We start from the raw sequence: 22,023 nt of genomic DNA on the forward strand, positions 1-22,023 counted from the left end.
GCATTCTGCTACCAGCAACTACTGTGTATTGGAGAGGCCCTTTCTTGGTCTTAGAAGGCCAATTAAAATGTGTCTCTGGACTTCAGAGGGCAGTACAGATGACAGTCTGACACTCATCCTGGCACTTTTGAGTATCCTCAAGACATTGACACTAATGATTTATGAGTTACGCATATTCTGTCACCATATCTGCTCTTTGCTCCACACCCTCTCCCTTTCTCCTTTCCCTTCCTTGACAATGTTTGTGGGGTGATAAGAAAGAGATTTTGGAACCAAGAAATGAGAGGTGGCGGGGGAGAGGAAGATGATATATTTTTAACACTCTGGCTTCTTGCTACTCTGTCCCAGAATATACCCCCAGGCAACTGGAATCCCCAGTCGGAAAAACACTGGAGAATGACTTTCCTTCTGCTTCTTTTCCCTTGCAGGAAACACATGAAATTGTGGCGATCAAGAAATTCAAGGACAGTGAAGGTAGATATATATATATATATATATATATCTGTATATATGTATTTTTCCTTCTGTATAAAGTTTTTATACATAGAGTGTGGAAGAAGTGGGATCTAGCTGGTCAGACACTGTCTATTCCTGATATTTTGAAGTCACAATCTCAGAAAGTGAATATAGCTTATTTCTTATGCTTTGCTTTCAAACATTTAGTTCCTTTTATGTGAATCTTTTCAAATCTCATGATATTAGAAAATTCATCTTTTTATTTTAAGGTTGCAAGCAGCATTGGAAATCTTGCTCCAAAGGCTGGTTAGAAGGCATGTTGTTTATGCTGTTTCTAAATATTATTAAAATAAAAAAACTGGCTTCAAGTAAATACTTCTGTGGGTCCACATAAATAGCAAGTACTACATGAAAGATTTCAGTATTGGTTACGGTGATCTCCAGCTCCTAGTCAGAGTTAGAAATACAAGGATATATTGAGGGATTGATTTTATATTTAGAATAATGCATTGAGAGAATAAAAGCTTTTTAAGAAGAAATACTATGCTTAGGGGCCTTCATCACATCCAGACCATTTCAGACAGAGTTGTAAAATTACCCCATGCTGGGCAAGAAAGTTTAAAATAATGCATTTCAGTAGTTCATTAGTTTTAAAATCTAGACTGTTGGCCATCCAAAGATAGCCAAATAGAGAAACTGATAACAAAAATAGGTATGGCCTTTAAGGTGCTCTAGACAACATTTTTTTCAGACTTTTTGGACTGAGACCCACAGTAGAAATATATTTCATATCCTAACCCAGTGTCCGCACACATATGTAACACTATATGTAAATGAAGCAAAAATGTCACGAACTTCATCTTATGAATGTGAAGCTCTCTACTTTCTGTTCTTTCCTGTTCATGTAAATGCCTATTGTGACATCAAATGGATTGATTTCACTACTAGTAAGTCAGAGCCTGCTATTTGAAAAACTATGGTCTAAGAGTAAGAAGTACCAACACAGCATCAATCTTCATATCTAATTAGAAGTGTGGAAATAGCAGTCATAGCTTACCTTCATCAGCACACATCCCCTAAGTGATGTAAGACACCAGCCTCTATATTTATGAACAGTTTCATCACCCTCACCTCAAAGACTTAGCAAACATTAAATAACAAAAAGGGACTTGCTCCAGGATAGATGTAGTAGTATTTGATGTAATCCATCTCTGATGTGCTAGTTATATGAAACACATGCATATCAGCTGGGAACTTTAGCAGTCATTGTATGGGCAGGCTTAAAGGGAAGGTAAAAAGTGGAAGGTAAAAAAGAACTTTTTGCTTGTTCTGGGGGGACAAAAAAATCTTGCTTCAAATGGGATATTTGTGGTCTAGCAGGAAGCAGTAGCTCCAGGCTATCCCACTGTGATACCATTGGAAATGAGCTCTTTGAGCAGTGACTTTGGGTCAGCAGGTGGCTGAGAGACAAATGGTGATTTCCTAAAAAGAATGGTTGCAACAGTAGATCAAAGCACAACCTTCGCATGCATGTAAAGGCTTCTGGCTGTGCATTCATCTTTCAGGGCATATTGGCAAGCATCAGTTACCACCAAAAATAATAACTGTCATCAAATTTTGTAAAAAGTACAATCTAGGCCATGTATGCCACCTTTTTTTGTTTATGAGACAGGGTCTCACACTGTCACCCAGGCTGGAGTGCAGTGGCGCAATCTTGGCTCACTGCAACCTCCACTCCCCGGGCTCAAGTGATTCTACAGCCACAGCCTCCTGAGTAGCTGGGATTACAGGTGTGCGCCACCATGCCCAGCTAATTTTTTGTATTTTATTTGTAGAGACAGGGTTTCGCCATGTTGCCCAGGCTGGTCTCAAACTGCTGAGCTCAAAGTGATCCGCCTGCCTTGGCCTCCCAAAGTACTGGGATTACAGGCGTGAGCCACCTTGTCCAGCCCCATTACTTTCTTTTTAAGTAAATACCATGTTCTTTATAATCTCTGTCTTGTGCATACCAATTCTTAGCTTCAATTATATATTTTTACCTGTGTTAATGATACCTTTAGAGTGGAAATCTAGTGTATCCGTTGAAATTCATTGAGCACTGAGTGAAGTGCTGTAAGAGTTGAGGTGTGGATACTTTCAAGAAGCATATGACCTATTAGGAGAATTAAGACCTGCAAATAAATAACAATAAAACACAGTAGAAAACAGTTATTGCCTGAATGGAGACATGGAACTTGGATCATTTTGAGGTGAGAGAAACTGTTTCTGGACGTGGTATTGGGAGTTCATGAATAGTCTAGACGTGGAAGACATTTGATCTGCCCTTATTTTATTGAACCAACAAAACATTAATCTGCTCTGCCCTCATCTCTGCCAGACCCTTATCACTCACCATCCCTCAGAGGCATGCAGCCTTATCACCCACCCCACCTTGTCAATGACACCTACGTACCACCTACACATACTTCTAGAGGGATACTTCCAAAACATTTCTGTGCTAGAACCCAAAAACATAACCAATTATTCATAAACTTTTTCATTCCAGTCTGGCCCACTTACCTACTGTTTACATTTCTCCCAGGGAGATACTAGTACTCTCTTTTTTCTGTCTTTACCCTTTTCCTCTGGCTGGAGTAGTGTCTTGCTTAATGGAAAAAAGGGTACATGTTTGGTGAACAACTCTTTTGGAGTGTGAAGTGTATATAGATAGTCTCATTCAGGTAAGGATGTCTATTCAACCCCTGGGTAAACCATTTAATTCTCAATCAGTTTATTAAATTTTAGCCAATTATAATAAAAAACAGTGTCGTGATAATATTGCCCTCATTGTCATGTAGCTCTCATTAATCCCCTTTATTAGTTATTCTTGAAATATTCATTTGATATTATGGCAGTGATTATCTAGATCTAATGTTTAAAAGTCTTAGTGAAGATAACGAAATAATCCTGTAAAAATATTGTTAACTGAAATAGGATCTGCACTTGGTCTGAGCCATGTTCAAGGTAATCCAGTGCAGATGCTCCTTGACTTGTGATGAGGCCACATCCCAGTAACCCATCATAAGTGGAAAAAATTGTTACGTACAAAATGCTTTGGCTGGGTGTGGTGGCTCACACTTGTAATCCCAGCACTTTGGGAAGCCGAGGCAGGAGGATTGCTTGAGCCAGGAGTTTGAGACCAGCCTGGGCAACATGGCGAGACCCTGTTTCTACAAAAAATTTTTAAAAAAATTAGCCAGGCATGGTGGTGTGTGCCTGTAATCCTAGCTACTCAGTAGGCTGATGTAGGAGGCTCGCTTGAGCCCAGAAGGTTGAGGCTGCAGTGAGCCGTGATCATGCCACTGCACTCCAGCCTAGGCAACAGAGTGAGACTCTGTCTCCAAAAAAAGGCTTTACTACACCCAACTTACCACACATCATAGCTTTAGCCTAGCCTCCTTTAAACATGCTCAGAACACTTATGTTAGCCTATAGTTGGGCAAAATCATATAACAAAGCCTATTTTATAGTAAGGTGTTGAATATCTCATGTAATTTATTGAATACTGTAGTGAAAGTGAAAACCAGAATGATTTTATGGGTATTCAAAGTATGGTTTCTCATGAACGCATATGGCTTTCATGCCATTATAAAGTCAAAAAATCGAAGTCAAACCATTGTAAGTCGGGACCATCTATTCTCTCACTGATATCACGGAATATTTTGTGAGAATATATGTTAATTTCTGGTAGCTTTAAAAGATTATGCTAATGTCCTACTTTCTTGTTAAATTCATATATATTCACAAATTTATAAAAAATGTTTGTGAAACTATATTTTGTTAGACTACTATTTAGTTCAAGAAGTCTTTATTATCCCAGGATGATAGATCACTATTTAAAATGGGAATCAAAATTTCATAGTAAATAAAAGTTTATTTTGGGACTTTAAGTGGATAAAATGAAACTAAAATTATGAAAATAAGTTTATAGTTAACACAAGTTAGGTTATAGTAGTAACTAATATGCTATTTCAAGAAAGAATGAAGTGTTAACCTTTTTGGGAGGAGGAACAGTTTTTACAGTAAAATTGTAGGCTAGGCCAATGAATAGCTTCTATAGTAAAGAGGGTCATTAAGAAATATACAAAAAGCTTTGTCAGTTTTCTCTTCTTCTTCTTCTTCTTTTTTTATTCCTGTCTATGTGTCTTCTTTTTCAGGCTGTGTGTGTGTGACAGGGTCTTGCTTTGTATCCCAGGGTAGAGTACAGTAGCATGGTCATGGCTCAGTGCAGCCTTGAACTCCTGGGCTCAAGCAGTCTTCCTGTCTCAGCCTCCCAAAGTAGCTGGGACTACAGGTGCGCACCACCACTCCCAGCTAATTTTTTCATTTTTTGTAGAGGCAAGGTCTCGCTATGTTGCTCAGGCTGGTCTCAAACTCCTGGGATCAAGAGATCCTCCTGCCTCAGCCTCCCAAAATGCTGCGATTACAGGCATGAGCCACCAAGCCTTGCCTTTTCGAGGTTTTTATTTTCTAGTTGTTAGCAGATACAATTCTATCAGACAATTTATCAGTGTCTTTGCCTGTGATTCTCTCTGAAAGACTTTGACACCCTGACTTGGGGATATAGACTCCTATTAAAAAGGAAGAATGTTTGAGTAATGAAAAATTTTGTCTGAGCTTACTTCATTAGTTAATTTTTTCTTGTTTTGATGACTTCTGTTTGTTGACCCTTCATAAATTTGGAGTCTGTGATAATGAGTTCTTTAAGATAACCCTAAATGATGGTATTATAAGTTTGGCTATTAAGTTCCTGCAGAGAAATTTTATCTAGTAAACACCTGACCAACCAGAAGTCTCCATTGTATTCGTTCTGCTCATTGTAATAGTTCTGCTCATTATTTGGATTTTCTGAGAAGGGAAAAAATGACCATAGATCATAAAGATACTAGAGATTATTTAGTTAAAAGGTACTTTTCAGACTATGTATAAATTATAAATTTAGTCCAGTTCTTCTACCCTTTCTATGACTCCCATCTTCTACAGTGAGATTTGATGTTCAGATGATAATGTATCACTGTTGTTTTGTCAAGACAAGTACAAGTGTCTGCTGTCCTCAATTTATTAAATAACCCAAGAGCGCTGATTTAGATTATATAGCTTTGGACCAGCAAGAATTCAAAATATTGTCTGTCCAGCCTTTACTTTAGGAAAACCTATTGTCTAGAATTTATTTTTGACATACATTTGGACCTTCTTTTTGCTTCTTTAGACTTTTCCATCTTTCCTTAAATGTAAGGTGATGGAGTGAGGGGAGAGCCTCTCTGCTTGTCACTGGGCCTCTGTGCATGGCAAGGAGGCTGACTCCAGGGAGCTATACACTAGTCTACATTTAAGATGAAACTTAGGTTGTGTCTCTGCTTTTATATAAAATAAAATTACTTGCATTTCGTATTCTGCTGAATGTTTTCTATAGAGAACTATTTTCCTCTTGGAATGGACATATTCTTCTTAATTATTAGAAAACATTTAATTGATCATCTGTTCTGTCTTCTAATTTATTTTATTCTTCTGTTTACCCAGACACTGGAAAGCTCTATACTGATCTCTGGATCAGGAGTACTCTGGTCTCTTATTTTATATAATGGTACAAAACCAGAGTTCGTAATCTGGAGTCCTTAAATTCAAGAGCCTGATTTCTGTGTGAAAGAGGCCTTGAAACAAAAAGTCCAACCCTTGATTAAACAAATAATTTGATTAACTGAGCTTGAGCATTCTGGCTAGTCATGATTTTACCACACTTCCTTTTCATGTTCAACATGGACCTCCTTCAGACTTCAGGGATTCTTCTAGGATTTGGTGATCATTTTGCATCTTCTGTGATTTAATAAATTTCTACTGTGCTTTTACCTGTTCTTCATCTCTAAAGATTGGAGGGTCCTCATCTTTCTTGGTGTATGTAACAGTAGCACTAGCATTCAAACTCCCTCAGCCACATTGTCTGTCTATTGATGTCCCTTCTTCAATAAGAGCAACCAGACTCAAATATGGTACCCCCGTGGTTTTGATCAAGGATGGGTTGATTTTTCTTTATCAGTTTATCTGTGTAAAGGTCCATTTGGGGTGGGGGGCTCTTTGGCTATACAAAAATGTCAGGTTTGTGATTTCACAAAGTAGGTTACAGCTATTCCTGGATTTCCTTTCTAAGCCCACAGTTCTTTAAAAATAGAGTTACAATAGAGTTTCTGCTCATCTTTAGATTTTTCTCTTTTCATCAGTTATCTTTGAATCTCCTTTGCTCCTGTGATCTTTCTTCTTAAGAATTGTTCTCTTTAGCAAATCGCTCTTGATTTTTAGGTGTGTTAACTTGCCTTACTGGTAAGTTTAGAAGTAGGACAGTTTTTGGGTTGTTTTTACTTAACATCCTTTTTCCACCCTGCCATTTTGTCCTCACTCAGTGGGGTTTCTATATATCTGCACATAACTTTGTCAGAGTTGATCCTGCATTCAGCTAAACCCCCTCAGTGGTAACTGATGACAAGATGGGTCAGCATGCACATAAGCAGTTATCACATAGAAGTATGGACTCGGGAAGAGTCCTTCTGAATAATCCAGTATAACTCAGCCCCAGTATACAGATGATGGACCTCAGGCTCAAAGTTGCATAGCGTGTATGTGAATAATTGCAACTAAAATGCTGACCCAGGATCTTTGTTGAGTTTTTCTTCCACCCATACTATGCCGCCTTGCCGTTCAGCTAAATGGTAGCATAGTTATACCTGAACCTGGGTACTGTGACTCACTTTCCAAAACTCACTGTATTGTATACTATGCCACCTTTGTGCCTGTGTTCTACTCAGACTATGAGGTTGAATATGACCCTCCATTCATGCACCCTGAGAAAGTTATCCTTTCTAGACTTGATTTCTTCATTTGTAAACTGGAGCCCAGCCTTGATAAAGAATCCTAGCCTAGACAAAGAATCCACGGGGATTATTTCAACTAGATGGCAGTGATTTTTGTGCTCATTTCAGTGGGCTGTGCTACCACCCTTTGAAAATGCCTTACTGAATGCTTTTTGTAAGGCATTTTGTAATGCCTTGCAAAATGCTTTCCTACTTTGTGTACCTCTGAGAAGAGAAGCCTGTGTAATTGGAATGTGCCTTCCTTCTCCCCTCATCTGATAATTTAGTTGACAGTTTTCATCATAAAGTGCAGGGCAGGCCAGGAACCTTCAAAGTACTTAGAAAAACAAAATTATAGGATGTACCCAGTAATAATGAAGAGTGCCCATTTTGCTTGAATTTAGGGAATTAACTCCACTTTCTGCCTGTTCCCATTCATTGCAATCTTAGTGCTCAAGTGTTTACCTCAACTTTTAATACTATGACTGGCATAAAGTAGAAAAGCCTTTATTTCCTAAAAACAGCTGCTCCAATGAGGTTGTTTGGGCACTACATTCTAGGTAATTTTGTGTGCTGCTTTTTGATGATTCATTTATCTTCTCTAACCATTGTTAAGTGGAGTCAATACAGATTCGAATAATGTATGTATAACAAAGCAGCCAAGTTCCATGAGGTTTAGGCTCATAATCAATACAATTTTAATGAAAAGAAATAATAGATTATTAGACTTGAAAAAGGCAATAGGATTTTTGGGAGATGGAGGCATTTATTTGTTTCTTTTACTGATGAAAAGTTAAGTGGCTTGCCTAAAGTTGCATGGTGTACTGTTAGTTGATTAAAAGACCGAGTCCAGAATCTAGGTCTCCCTAGTTAGTCCTGGTCCACTGTTCCTTCTACTAAAACCATCCTGATGCAGCCATTCTGAAGAGGGTTTATTCATTAGCAAAGTGAAACTGCCACAAGTTGGTAATAAATAATAGTACGATGTTTTTTCATTTGCATTTCCAGTACCAAGAATTCACAAAGCATCATAGTTTATGGACGCTCTTAATGATTTTATTTTTATTTAGGTATTTGTGTGCATGTACTTGTGTGTGTTCTTGACCCTGAGCACTGTCAGTGTTCTGTATCCTCCATCATTTCTAATCACATACTGTAGAAGACACCTAGGGACAGAGGTGAATAGGGAGAAGAGAAAATTCAGTTTATCGTACTGCCTGATAAGCGGTGCTTGAGGAAATTGACAGTGCTGTAAGAAAACTGAGAGGCAAAGTGCCTATTGTTTGCCCTCCCGTTGCTGTGGCTGAAGTGAGGAAGAGTTACGCATGTATGGGCAGAGATTTCCTTATGGCCACAGGTGAAGCATTCATGTAGGAAGAATGTATTGATCACCTCTCCTTGTGTCAGGTACAGTCCTGGTGTATATTGTTGAACAGAAGAATTGAGTCCTGTCCTCCATGAGCTCTTGATTTAGCAGGGATGGCTGCATAGATTGCATACCACTAAGCAAACAAATATATCAAGAAAAATGGTAAGAAGTTCTGTGAAAGAAAAGTCCAGAACTGTGATAAGGAATAATGGGGATGGAGGCCTACTTGCTTTTGTGGTCTGGGAAAGGCTCTAGAGGAGTGATATTTAAACTAAAACCTGAAGGAGCAAGCCCTGTCAAGAGCCTATGTAGTAGACTGAGCATTGTAGGCAGAGGGAGCAAGTCTGAAGGCCATTAAGGTGGAAAAATGAAGTTTGGGGCTATTTTGGGAACTGAAAGATGGAGGTGAGGGAGAGGGACATGAGATGGGGATGGAAAGGCAGGCACAGACCAGGTCATGAGTAATCAGTAGACTTGTCTCTTGTTAAATTAGTCCCTTGTTAGATCATTTGTTTCTTATTTGAGATCTGTGTGTTATTCTGTTTCTTAGAGATAGATGGATTTTAGTTTGATTACCCCAACCTTGAGTAACTCAGAGGGGATATTAGAGAAGCATGTTCTCGATCTTGCTTCTTTAGGAAACTGCCGGTGTTCCTGTGCTTCAGCAGCTGCAGCTACCTTAGCATTCTAACAGTCACAGAACACCACTGTTCTGGCTCACCCCCAACTTGCAGAACACCTGGACCTTTGTCCCCTCCCAATGCTCTAAGCTACTTTGGGATGTCCCCGATTGCATCTCAGACATTCCCCCACTGCCAGGTGACATCCACTGTCATGCTCTTTTCCCTGTAAGTACCCAGTTCCCTGTTGACTGCCTTGGTGTGATCCAGGTAATTCGCTGCTTATGCCACAGTTGGCCTTTCCTACTGCTGGTTCTTGTCTTCTCATAGGCAGTATCTCTCTTGGTCCTAATCTGTGTTCCAGTGTTCTCCAACAGCTTTCTGGCTAAAGTAGAATACTTCATTTATGTAACCAGTTCACAAGGGAGTGTTGACTCCGTGTTCCCAGTTTGTTATGGATACTCGGGTGCTACAAAGCCCTTGCTTTTATGTCATTCCCTTTTCTTTAAACTCAGTTTGAGTTGGGGGTTGGGAAAGGGGGCTGGGATAGAAAATAATCTGAGGAAACATTCCTGGGTCTGCATTTAGAATCTTCCCTCTCCCTTTGGAATCCATTCAGCCTTTTTCCTCCTGCGTGCCTTGGTTAGAGAGCCTTTCTTCTAGAGGGCATATCAAGTAGGCTTCCGTGCCCCTATCTCCACACTCCATTTTCCTCCTTCTCACACTGAAAGATGTGTCTAATCCTGAGGGTCACACAGCTCTCAAGCTAGGATTCTGGCCCTTACCCAAAAGCTTGTGGCTACATGTGTTTTAGACTTCATAATTTTTGGATTTTAGAATGGACGTGTGGCATGTTATAATGCACAGCACTCAGTAATCAAGTAGTATTTCTATAGCACAACATATGAATGTTCATATTAGATTGGATAAACAAAGACTTTATGTAGTCTCCTGTCAGTTCAGGTGTTACCTCTCAGTGAATTTGCCCCAAACTTAGAAAAAGCTTTCAGTTTTTAGACTGTGTTTTGGATTTTGGACTTGCAGATGAGGGATTATGAACCTGTATCCTGGTACATACATGCAAAAACATGGTAGTTAGGATTTCCCGGGTAAATCTAAAGGTATAATAAAAACTAATTTAAATAGAAATATTATTTTCATCACTCCCCTGCCAATTAATCTATTAGAGTTAATATGACTTCTGTCCTTCCTCCATAACCACGGAGATTATCATGAATGAAGTTGATGGTATGGAAGAGGGTCTATTGGTTCAGCATAAGTTCTCCATCCCAGAACAGCTACACCATCTGGGATGGACAGATGGACATGCCACAGGGAGGACAGCAGGAACCTACAGCAGCTGCTGTTCAGAGAGAAGATTAGACACTCTCAGAATTCCCTGCAACTTGGCTGTGACTTGAATTGTGGATGCTTGGCGCATGACCTCTGCTCCCTGAGGTGACTCATGCAGCCTGAGGAATAAAATGTTTTTTTAGGCCAAAGTTTCAGGCCATCCTTAAAAACATCAGCTACTACAGATGCCGGCTGCATAGAGGTTCTTCTGCACACTGACAGTTTTGATTCCTTATGGCCCTTTTAATCTCTTTCCTTCCTTGTATAGAGTGTTATAGTTCAGATGACAATGGAGGCATATGTTGTATCTATAAGTGTGTTTTTATACATACACGTAGTAAAAGAAGTATAAGAAAATTTTTATACATACACATAGTAAAAGGAGTATAAGAAAATATAAGCAGGAAGTCAAGTTTGTGCTGATCAAGTAAACCCTTTCTTCGATTTTCTTATTCTTGATCCTTTCAACAAGAAAACGTGTTATTTAATATTCCATTCTTGTACTTCTTATGCAGAAGTACTCAAAGCAGAAGGTGAAATTGGGATGTTTTCAGTGTTCTTGGAATTCTTTGAATAGTAGCTTGAAAGTTTTCATTTTAGTCTCTTCACCATTGTTTACATTCTAGAAAATGAAGAAGTCAAAGAAACGACTTTACGAGAGCTTAAAATGCTTCGGACTCTCAAGCAGGAAAACATTGTGGAGTTGAAGGAAGCATTTCGTCGGAGGGGAAAGTTGTACTTGGTGTTTGAGTATGTTGAAAAAGTAAGTCATTAATTGCCAATGTGCACATTTGCCCGATTCTTTTATTTAAGGCTGTTTCTGACATTATTTAAGAAAGTACTGTTATCTAATATGGCTTATCAATGTACTCATAATCTGAGGACTTTAAAAATGAAAGTGTTGTTAATAATCATTAGAAATTCTGAAATATATTTAAGAATTTTGTACAATTAAACTGTATAGAGATAATCGTAAGTTTAAACAATATACTGATTTGGCTTCTGAAGTCTTAAACTCTATGTTCAACAAGTAATTTTTAGACTTGACTTAACTAAGCCTAAACTGAGGGAGAAACTGGTAAACTGACAGTGATGGTACAGGCTGGAAGAGGCTGTATAAGATACCACACTGAATCAGACCTAGGCTGGGGAATGAGTGGGCCCAGGAAGCAGCTTATGTGAACTGCCAATGCTTTGGCTTTATTTGAGGGAAGGAGCTGTGCCAGGAGGCCTAAGGTGAGGCTTGAGGTGGTAGATGAGACCGTAAAAGAAAAGCATGCATTGTTTGAGCTGTCTACACTTGCCTTAGCTTGTATTAAAAAATGTTCAACTTGTTGGAGACAATTTTAATAACATGACCTAAGGGCAAATGTATGTTACAGTAATCAATAATGTGTGCCTAGAAATTTCTTGGAGAGGGGCCTGGTGCAGTGGCTCACACCTGTAATCCCAGCACTTTGGGAGGCTGAGGCAGGCGGATCGCTTGAGCCTCAGGAGTTTGAGAATAGCCTGAGCAACATAGTGAGACCCTGTCTCTAAAGAAAAAGAAAAAGAGAAATTTCTTGGAGAGCAGCTGACCTACAGCAGTTGTTATGGTCAAAAACTTAAACAGATAAACACTTTAACAGTAGTAGAAGAAACTGGAGTGGGGCAAACCTTTAAGCAAGTTTTCTTGATGAGTAAATAGGTGGCTCCTGCCGATTCCTATGCTGTTGTCCAAAGAAGGTTGAAGTGGGAGAAGTTTATGTTTGCTGCAGGTCTATACCCAGGTGCTTGCTATACCATAAATGACAGAGTATCAACATTGTCATAACCAAATGGAAAGCAGTATTGCCAGGGTAACTGACCAGTAATGTGGCTTTGAATGCATTCAGCCTTTACAAATTGTTTTTTGAAATAAAAAAAAAAAATACATGTAATAATTTCCTTACTAGAAAAACTGGAACGGTACTAGCAGGTTGTTTGTAATCTTAAACCACTGCTTTATGTTCCTTTTCCAGAATCTGTTTTAAGTTTCTTTTTCTGTGTCAACTTATACATTCCTCTAAGGTACCTTCCACACCAAAATAAAACTAAAAGTTTTTTTTTTTTTTTTAAAGTTCTATTAAAAAAAAAGGATTGCTGTATTAGGATTCCAGGGGAAACCAGATGCTCTTTATTTTTTAAAAACTTTTTAGAGATGGTGTCTCACTATGTTGCCTAGGCTGGAGTGTAGTGGCTATTCACAGGTATGATTATAGCACACTGCAGCCTCAAACTCCTGGGCTCAAGCAAATCTTTCACATCAGCCTCCTGAGTCGCTAGGACTACAGGTGCGCGCCACCATGCCTGGCTGCTTTTTATTTTTTCATTATCATAAATAATCATGCAGTTTGTAGTTTTCACTACCAAATAAGAAAATTTTGACATCTCTTAGTTTATCCTTTTTATTTTTGTTCTATTCATGGTGGTTGTTCATTATTAATAATAATTTAATATAACAAATGGAGAAGTCACTTCTGTGTATCTGTTTCCTCACTGGGAGAGGCAATTTTGTGTGTCTGAGATCTCCCTGCTGGTAAATGGCTGAGCTGCTACTAGAACTCCAGTCTTCTGACAGTCAGGCCTGAGATTCTTCCCCCGATCCTGTGGTTCTTAGGTAGAATGTGACTGTCACACCTGCCACATTAGTGGCAGTGCGTCATAATTGACAGTGAGTCTCAGGAGAGCAAGGAGAAAGTTCTCTAAGGGATAAGGGACTGGTAACAGAGACCCAGGATTGCAGAGGCTTAAAATAGAAGTTTCTTTCACCCTCACATATAAATACAAAGGTAGGGCAGTACAGGACTAGTGTGGCAGCTCTGCTCCACCACAGCGAGGTGTGACCCTTGTCCTCAAGGTCAGGATAGAGTTCCAGCTGTCATATCCCATTGGCCAGGACATAGTTGCATGACCACATTAGCTGCAAGGCAGAAGAGAACTGTACTCTTCGTTCTGGGCAGCACTTGAAAATTGTGTTCCTGCGGAGTAAGGGAAGACTGGATACTGGAGGACAATATGTCTGCCACTGAGGAATTTAGAATAGAATGTGAAACAAGAGATACAATTTGTTTTCTATATTACAAAGCCTTCTTATTCCACCTGTGCATTTGGGACCATCTATGAATTTGTTAATTGAAAAAGAGAATTCAAATGGAGAATCAAAAAATGATGCATACATACTTAAAATGTTTATTTTAATTGGAAACATAAATACTGTATGTATTCATTTACCACGCTATAAAGGTAGGGTCAAGGCCTTTTGCCTATCGCTCTTCTGAAGTTCTGATTGGTCTTTTTTACATACATCATACTCGTAATGCATCTTTAAGGTAAAGCAAATGTGCAAAAACATCTGCAAAGGAATCTCAGTGCAGAATCCTTCAATTGGACATGCTTATCCCCACTAGCACCCATTCCTTGCCAGTGTTTTGTAGTTGTCTCACATTTGATTAGATGGCAATAAGTTTAGTGGCTTTTCATTTATTAAGCCTTTCTAAAGTATTCAACTTTGTTTTCTTATAAACAACAACTCTTTTTTTAAAAAAACATTATTTCATTTGTTTATATGGTATTTAATTATATTAAAATAACAAGTGCATCTTTTATAAATAGGCATGGGAGTAAATACAACTGATTCTTGATAGGTATACAACTTGACTGGTGGGAACAAAACTGTGAGGCCAAATTAGAGCAGTGATTTTCTGACTGGTCTTATGGCCCCTTCACACTCTGAAAATTATTGGGAACCCTAAGAACTTTTTATTTATGTGTATTTTATCTATTAGTGTTTCTCATATTAGTCATGACTGAGCAATATAAAAATATTAGTTCATTTTAAAATAACAATAAACGTATTGCATGTTAACATAGATAAGTTTGTATGTCAGTTATTCTTTCAAGTGAAAAATGGCATTCCACATAAAAAGCAGCTCATTCAGCTTGCATCTCAATCCTCTAAGTGCTTTTCCTCAGGACAACCATTGGACAGATGGTGCATGTGCAGCAGAAGGGCTTTATGTGCAGTCTGCCATTTTATCATGCAGATTCCAAAAAAGACATGTACTCAAGAATTGAAATTTAGTCAAAGTAATATTTTGTACTGCTTCATCAAAGATGTCCTTAACTAAAACGTCTGTTTTCTTTTTTAAAGGCAAGGTTTAATTGGATTAAAGAATCCAATGCCTTGATTCATGCTGAGGTGCCAGCAGTTTACCCATTGTTGCTTTGTACCATTAGTGTAAATGCCAACACAGTGAAAAAGGCAAACATCACAGTCTTATTATGAATATAGTTTTGACTTCATGGGCCCTCCGCAAGATCTGAGACCCCACAGATCCACATGTTACACTTTGAGAACTGCTGTCCTAGATGGTTGCTTACAAACAATAAGCTGTGATTGTACCACGGGCCTTGTACTTTACAGTGAGAAAGGAGAATGGTTAATCTGGAAATTCAGTAGAGACCGGCTAAGTGGAATTTCTACATAATAAAAAATTTTGCATGAATTTTAGTTATAATGGTCTCTGACTCCAAATTAAGGTTTTTGAATATTGAATTGTAGGGGGTCTGTGACTCTTTATTTCAATAGTATTTTCTGGCCTGTTTGAATTTTTGTACTAAATGTATTGATCATTTTTAATTTTGGACATTTTTTTTTCTACTAAGAATATTTCGTGGATCTTCCAGGTGTATTTTCAAGGCTTGATTTTTATCACAAGATTCTGTTGCAGAGATACAGCACACTGTGTTTAAAAAGGCTCTTTCCCCCCTTTATACATTACAGTGTCATATTTCTACTTTGTATTGCTTTTCTCTTCTAATTATTCTAAAATAATGCCTGAAAACCTTTAGGGAGAGTGAAAAGTATACAGGGTTATTATTTGGGGTAGCATTAGGGAATAGTAAAAATGGAATTCCTCATAAAAGAAAGCCCCAATTTTAATGCTGATTCAGCATGAGAAAGTTGTAGATAGAAAGCAAAACAATTAAAAAAAAAAGCTCTGTATTGGATGAATTATTCTAGATGCTTTGTAAAATTGTTAATACATAATTTACGGGCCTACCTAATTTGGGAAATAATGACTCTATTTAATTTTTAGAATATGCTCGAATTGCTGGAAGAAATGCCAAATGGAGTTCCACCTGAGAAAGTAAAAAGCTACATCTATCAGCTAATCAAGGCTATTCACTGGTGCCATAAGAATGATATTGTCCATCGAGGTGAGTATGAGATTTTTAAAATGGAAAATATTAAAACATCAAATAAAGTTAAGAGTATTTCACATGTTACTGTCTTTAAGAATATTTTCATAAGCATTGGCATTGCCATTTAAATTAAATATATTTTGAAAGTGCAAGACATGAGAAATATTTGCTCTCCATATCTCCTTTTCTATCACCAAAAGGATGGATTACAAATTTATTTGGATATTGTGGTGAGATCTTTACATTTGTATAACTATTATAGATCCACTCCCAATTGTAGAAATGCCTAGTGATATAAGAGAACTCAACAAATGTGAACTTTGAAACTTACTTGGGGATAGGAGAAGAGCAAAATGTTGATCTCTATAGCCTTGGTCCTGCAGGTAGACCAGGTAATGTGAAACAACTCTGAATCAGGCTTTATATAGGTGGTTCCTAAGTCACTGGCCCCTATTGGCACTCATGTCTCATTCCTTCTTACACCAACAATCTCCAGTATGTATCTTCACCTCCTAATTTTCTCTACCCCTTAGTGAAAAGTGCCCGTTGTCTGCAGTTGCAGGCATGATCAACCTTGCATAAAGGTCATAATTATACTCCCATAAACTGTTTTGTCCTTTACTGCCATGAAGTGGGTGGTTTATAGCAATGAAAGGGAAATTACTTGCTCAGCATCAACTTTGTCTCTTCTCCTGATAATCTTTCTTGCACTGGAGAGTTTTACAGTAGTGGGACACAAATTGATACAACAATGACCCTAAATATTTATTTAAAAAATTGCAGTATTTACTTTTTGTCTTTAGATTAGCAGATAAAAGAATGCTACATTTTAATTTACCTATACACAAATGCACAAGGATATCACTTTAAAAATATTCTCACTTGTGAGAATAGTTTAAAGGTCATATGAAGAATGCCATCGTCTTTTATTCCTAGAAACAGTTTATATTTCTCTTGCATTTGACTCTCATAGCAGTTACCTTATCAAGATTGTTGGTAGCATGGGTAGATCTCCACGTCAACTGGACATCCAGTGTCTAGGGTAATGATTCTAGTAACAGTCTATACTGTAGTTTGGGGATATTAATGAGGAGCCGAGTTAGGTGCATTTCCATCATGATACTGTGATTTGATTATGTGCATAGTGAATCATTGGTTGCAAATTAATGGTAGAAACCATGATTTGAAATCTACAGATTTCACTACCTCTGCCCTTTCTCCATTTGCATCTCTACCATATGATATAGATCATGGGTATTCTACTCTAAAAATACAATTGCGAGATGCCTCCCAAGGAGAGAATTCAACTGCATTTTCTGTGAATTTCTACTTAACTCCCACCACATCTTCATAACATCCATGGAAAAAATTAGAAATCTTAATTTGACTCATCCAGTATGGCTTCAGCATTAGACATTGATAATTGTGAACCATGCAGAAAAGCTAAAGAGACGTAAATATAGAAATTATGTAGAAGAATGTAACAGAAAGCATGTCTTGTATGTCTTCTCCAGTAAATATAATGCTAGCTACTTATTCTCATGTATTTTTAAAGTATCTTGTGGGTGTAAACATTTTATATTTCTATCTCCAAAAATTTGTATTACTAGTATTTTATGAAGTAATAATAGGTTTTTGAAATGTGTTGGCCTATATTTAATTATTCTTAAAATTCTTTCAGAGATCCAACTAATCCTTTTAATACTTAAAGAGGAAAAAAATATTTTTGAAGTTGTGGTCTGCATGTTTCTGAGAAAGAAATTCATTGAAACTTTTATGTACCAGCATAAAATGTGTTACTTTATTTTTGCTGCCACAGTTTTCTATTCAAATTACTCTAGATATTTCTAATTAGATGCTATTACAGTGATCTAACAGTGTCAATCAGGAGAACATAGAACATTTTTACTAATTTTTTTTTTATCTTGACACTCCAGATATAAAACCAGAAAATCTCTTAATCAGCCACAATGATGTCCTAAAACTGTGTGACTTTGGTAAGTTAAAAAGAAATTAAGTCCTGGTACTTACAGAATTAATTTATTGTAACACATAGGTAGCTTTTAAAGGAATATTAAAAGTAATTGTTATGTTTTGACTTAAATTGGTAGAGGAACATTCTTTTGAGTCACATGTTGAAAAATTGATTGCTGGAGGAGTACTGCTCTCTTCAGAGTATTGTCTATTTTTAAAATTTTATCATGGTTTTTGTTTAATCAGAACTAATTCAAAGCAAATACACCCATATGCCCAATATCTAATGACTTCACAAAAATTTTTTTTGAATGTTGATAGTTGTTCCAGGTTTAATCATGAACACTAAAATATCCCTCTGTAAATACACATAAGTATTTTGTATATGCAATTGTTATATATCTATAAAGTCAAAAGACATTTTTAGAACATTTTCATTTGTTCCCTCTAAATGTTCAATGAATGGGGTTAGTCATGTATAATATTACAGCTTTTGATTGAATGTATAGGGAAATTTTTTTAGTTGTACTCTCTCCTAGTAGAAAATTGTCTGTGTCTCCCATGTAGATAACTCTGTATTAAGCTCTATTAAACATTTAAATTAAAATAATTCAGAAAAAATTTTAGATTGTATGTTAGGGTCATGGGTCACTTTTTAAAATAATAGTTTTGCCTAACCTGTATGCTGAAAAATGAACACTTGATTTTTTAAATGTCTTTTTTCATATATTTAAATATAATCACAAATACAATGTAAACCTCCACATATAACTAAGAATCCATCTCCTTATAAGGAAAAATTAGATTAGATTAGTGCATAGGAGATGAATTACACAAGCAAGAAATAGAGGCATTGTCAAAATTTGCTTCGTAGAATGACCCATTTTGTCCAGTGTAGCAAATGGAAGCATGTGTAGCTCTTGTCACTCAGTATTTTCAAAGATTTTGAATATTATTAACCTGTTTGTCTGAGAAAAAATGTTTTACAGGACTTAATTTTCTTCATATTTTATGATAAGGAATGATATGTAAAAGAGTCTGTGTCCTAAATTTATAAAGAATGTACTTAGGAAAAAGGAAATATTGAATACTGGATCTGAAAGATTTTAATTGTGGCATTTTTAGCATTTTGTTAGCATTATGATTTTCAGGAACAACATCTGTTTCTGATTTCCTGTCCGTGATTGTGATTACTACCCAAAACAGAGACTTAAGTTACTGAAAATATAAAGCAAGTTATAAATATAAAAGAATGCCCATAGAATGGTTAGTAGTAGGAAGAGTACTCCTGGTCTGGCATTTCTCAGAGAAAAGACTGTTGTAAATGGTCAGGAAGTTCCTCCTGGCAGCACCACATGCGGTATCCTGTGTCCTGTGTATCCCTAGCAAGGACTTCCTAATTGCTTCCCCTCCCAGAGTACGCACTCCTTGGTCTGACTTGAAGAACCCCATTCAAAAATACAAATATTTCTTCAAAGCGTGTCTTATGAAGAAACATTGATTATCTGAAGTTAGGGGTTTTGTTTTACGCTGGGATTGTTTTTATTTTTTACCGTTTCATTTTAAGAAACAGTATTTTCCATGTCTCAAAACTGACGTACACCTTGATTTTTACTCTTAATTTTAATGTTCTGATTCTCTATAACTATTCACAGTGAACCTATGTTGTGTTTGGTGAGTTAGATGGGTGATTAACTTATCCTCCTGCCTTATTTTGTGGCTATGCAGTAGCCCTAAAACCTTTTCAAAGGGTGGGGGTAAAAGTAGTGGTAGAGTCTGTAATTGGTAACTAAGATACCCCTAATATTCTCAGTCATTAGGAGATGATAGTAATTTTGGCCTGCTTTGTTTCCATCACTGTTTATGTAAAGGCTAGAATTGCTCAGCAACAGTACATATGCAAATACTGTGTAAGTGCCACATAGCAAAATTAATGACCGTCTACAATATGCTAGTTTGACTTTGATTTTGATTTCTAGCTTTTGTGGGGACTTTATTTCATTTTTTTCCTAAGGTTTGCATTTATTGGGAGAGCTGATTTAAAAGTATGCTCTGAATAATTATAAAAGCATGGGATGACTTCGAAAACCCGGTTTTCTTTAGCATAGTGAAGAGACTGGTTTTGTAGTGAATACATTGTATGTCTTTCAATTGACATGGAACACTCTACTAACTTTTTAAGATAACAAGGATATTATTAATAAATAGCCCATGCGAGAACAGTCATTACATTCTTTTGATGTTGTTTAAAGTATTACTAGCGCTGAAATATTTTGCCCACATGAATTATTATTTCTTTTTCAAAGTTACAACTTTGGACTTTGCTATCTTTCAGGTTTTGCTCGTAATCTGTCAGAAGGCAATAATGCTAATTACACAGAGTACGTTGCCACCAGATGGTATCGGTCCCCAGAACTCTTACTTGGGTGAGTTACCGTCCCAAAATAGAATGACATTTCCACATCTGCTGATTCTATTGTCATTTGCTTTGAGTTCATCTATGGAAAATAAGAACTTCAGTTAATTAAATGTGTCAGTTACATATTGCAGTATAACAAACTACCTAAAACTTAATGGTATGAAACAAGCACCTTTTTGTTTGCTCAGAATTCTGGGTGTGGGGGAATCACCAGTTTGAGTTCAGCTGGATGGTTCTTCTACTGGTCTCTCTTGGAGTCACTCACGAAGTTATAGTCAGCTGGTAGGTCTTCTGGGAGCTGGTTAGTTTAGGGGTCTCAGCTGGATCAGACCATCTCTGATCCCTGGAAACTTATCCTCCAGTAAGCTATTCCAAGTTTCTAAGTGTGATAGTTGGAGAATTCTGTGCTATTAAGAGGGTAAGCCCCAAAGCAACAGCAGCTTTCAAGCCTTTTTTTGTATGGCTTTTGCCTCGTTGGCCAAAGCATGTTACATGACCAACCCCTGATTCATGGTATGGAGAAATAAATTCCATCTCTTGATGGGGCAAGTGGCAGAGCCATATTATAAAATGGTATATGTATGGAAATGGAAGAAATTAATTGTAGCCATCTTTGCTAATAAACTTCCACATTAAGAATGTGAATATCCACACAGTTTGACATTCTGGCTTATCTATTTGTTCATTTATTAATTCTTCAAGTACTTATCAAGTATCTCTTATGTCCAACCACTTTGCCAGGCACATAGAGTAAATATTGAACCAGACTGAGCACAGTGGCTCACGCCTGTAATCCCAGCACTTTGGGAGGCCAAAGCCAGCAGATCGCTTGAGCTCAGGAGTTCAAGACCAGCCCGGGCAACATGGTGAAACCCCGTCTCTACAAAAAAATACAAAAATTAGCCAGGCATGGTGATACCTGCCTGTAGTCCCATCTACTTGGGAGGCTAAGGCAGGAGAGTCACTTGAGTCCAGGAGGCAGAGGTCGCAGTGGGCTGATATCCCACCACTGCACTCCAACCTGGGCGTCAGAGCAAGACTCCATCACACACACACAAAAAAACCCCAAAAAACAAAAAAATGGACCAATTGCCATTTTTGTTCTGAACAGTGTAAATCCTGTTTGATGATAAATGGCTATTCAAACTAGCACTGCATTGATGATTTTCTCAGTAACATCTCTACATTGATCTACTTTGTGGCCACCCTTTAACTTTCAATGCTCTTTCATTCATCTGTTAACACCAGAAAAAGGTCTTCTGATAAGGTTCTTTTCTTTTTAGTACATTTTAACTTTAAAGCCTAAGAAGGAGCCTGTAGTTCTCATTAATAATTCTCTACCTACCCTAGTTGTAGGATTATTTTCCTTAGATTGTATTTCCTTCTTTGGGACCACCCAAAAACAGATAATTTATACTCCACAAATAAAATTAGATATAGTGATAATGATGACAAGTGCGCAAATTGTAGGTCTCATTTCTTTAATTTAGCATGCCATACGTGTATCTGGGGGACATGAGGAATTTAATTTTTAAAAATGTTTTTTATATAATAGCAATATAAGTTTCTGGATTTTTTTTCTGAAGAGCATGATGACGACATGTTTAAGTTACTCACTGAGGGTTTATTTTGATATTAACTACTTATTTTCCAGTGTCTACCAACCGTCTAGTAGTAATTCTTGATTCATTGCTGACCTAAAGCCTGTAAGAATCATTGACATTA

At 37.3% G+C, this 22,023-nt stretch overlaps 1 protein-coding gene across 3 annotated transcripts in view, besides 1 other annotated feature; it reads left to right on the forward strand.

Annotated features, from left to right (window-relative positions):
- CDKL5 (cyclin dependent kinase like 5) overlaps positions 1 to 22,023 on the forward strand; it is a 228,022-nt gene that overhangs the window by 138,441 nt on the left and 67,558 nt on the right. For all 3 annotated transcript variants that reach the window (NM_003159.3, NM_001323289.2, NM_001037343.2), the window contains 5 exons: positions 429 to 474; positions 11,306 to 11,442; positions 15,800 to 15,920; positions 17,843 to 17,902; positions 20,215 to 20,305. In NM_003159.3, coding sequence (NP_003150.1) covers positions 429 to 474; positions 11,306 to 11,442; positions 15,800 to 15,920; positions 17,843 to 17,902; positions 20,215 to 20,305 — 455 coding nt within the window. The remainder of the gene's footprint in view (positions 1 to 428; positions 475 to 11,305; positions 11,443 to 15,799; positions 15,921 to 17,842; positions 17,903 to 20,214; positions 20,306 to 22,023) is intronic.
- Positions 1,641 to 2,203: an enhancer, noted in NCBI's record as "OCT4-NANOG hESC enhancer chrX:18583809-18584371 (GRCh37/hg19 assembly coordinates)". NCBI's record gives its function as "activates a minimal SCP1, AML or CMV promoter by ChIP-STARR-seq in primed H9 embryonic stem cells {active_cell/tissue: H9 hESC(primed)}" and the evidence as "EXISTENCE:reporter gene assay evidence [ECO:0000049][PMID:30033119]".

Source organism: Homo sapiens, chromosome X, assembly GCF_000001405.40.
Source record: "Homo sapiens chromosome X, GRCh38.p14 Primary Assembly".
NCBI lineage: Eukaryota > Metazoa > Chordata > Mammalia > Primates > Hominidae > Homo > Homo sapiens.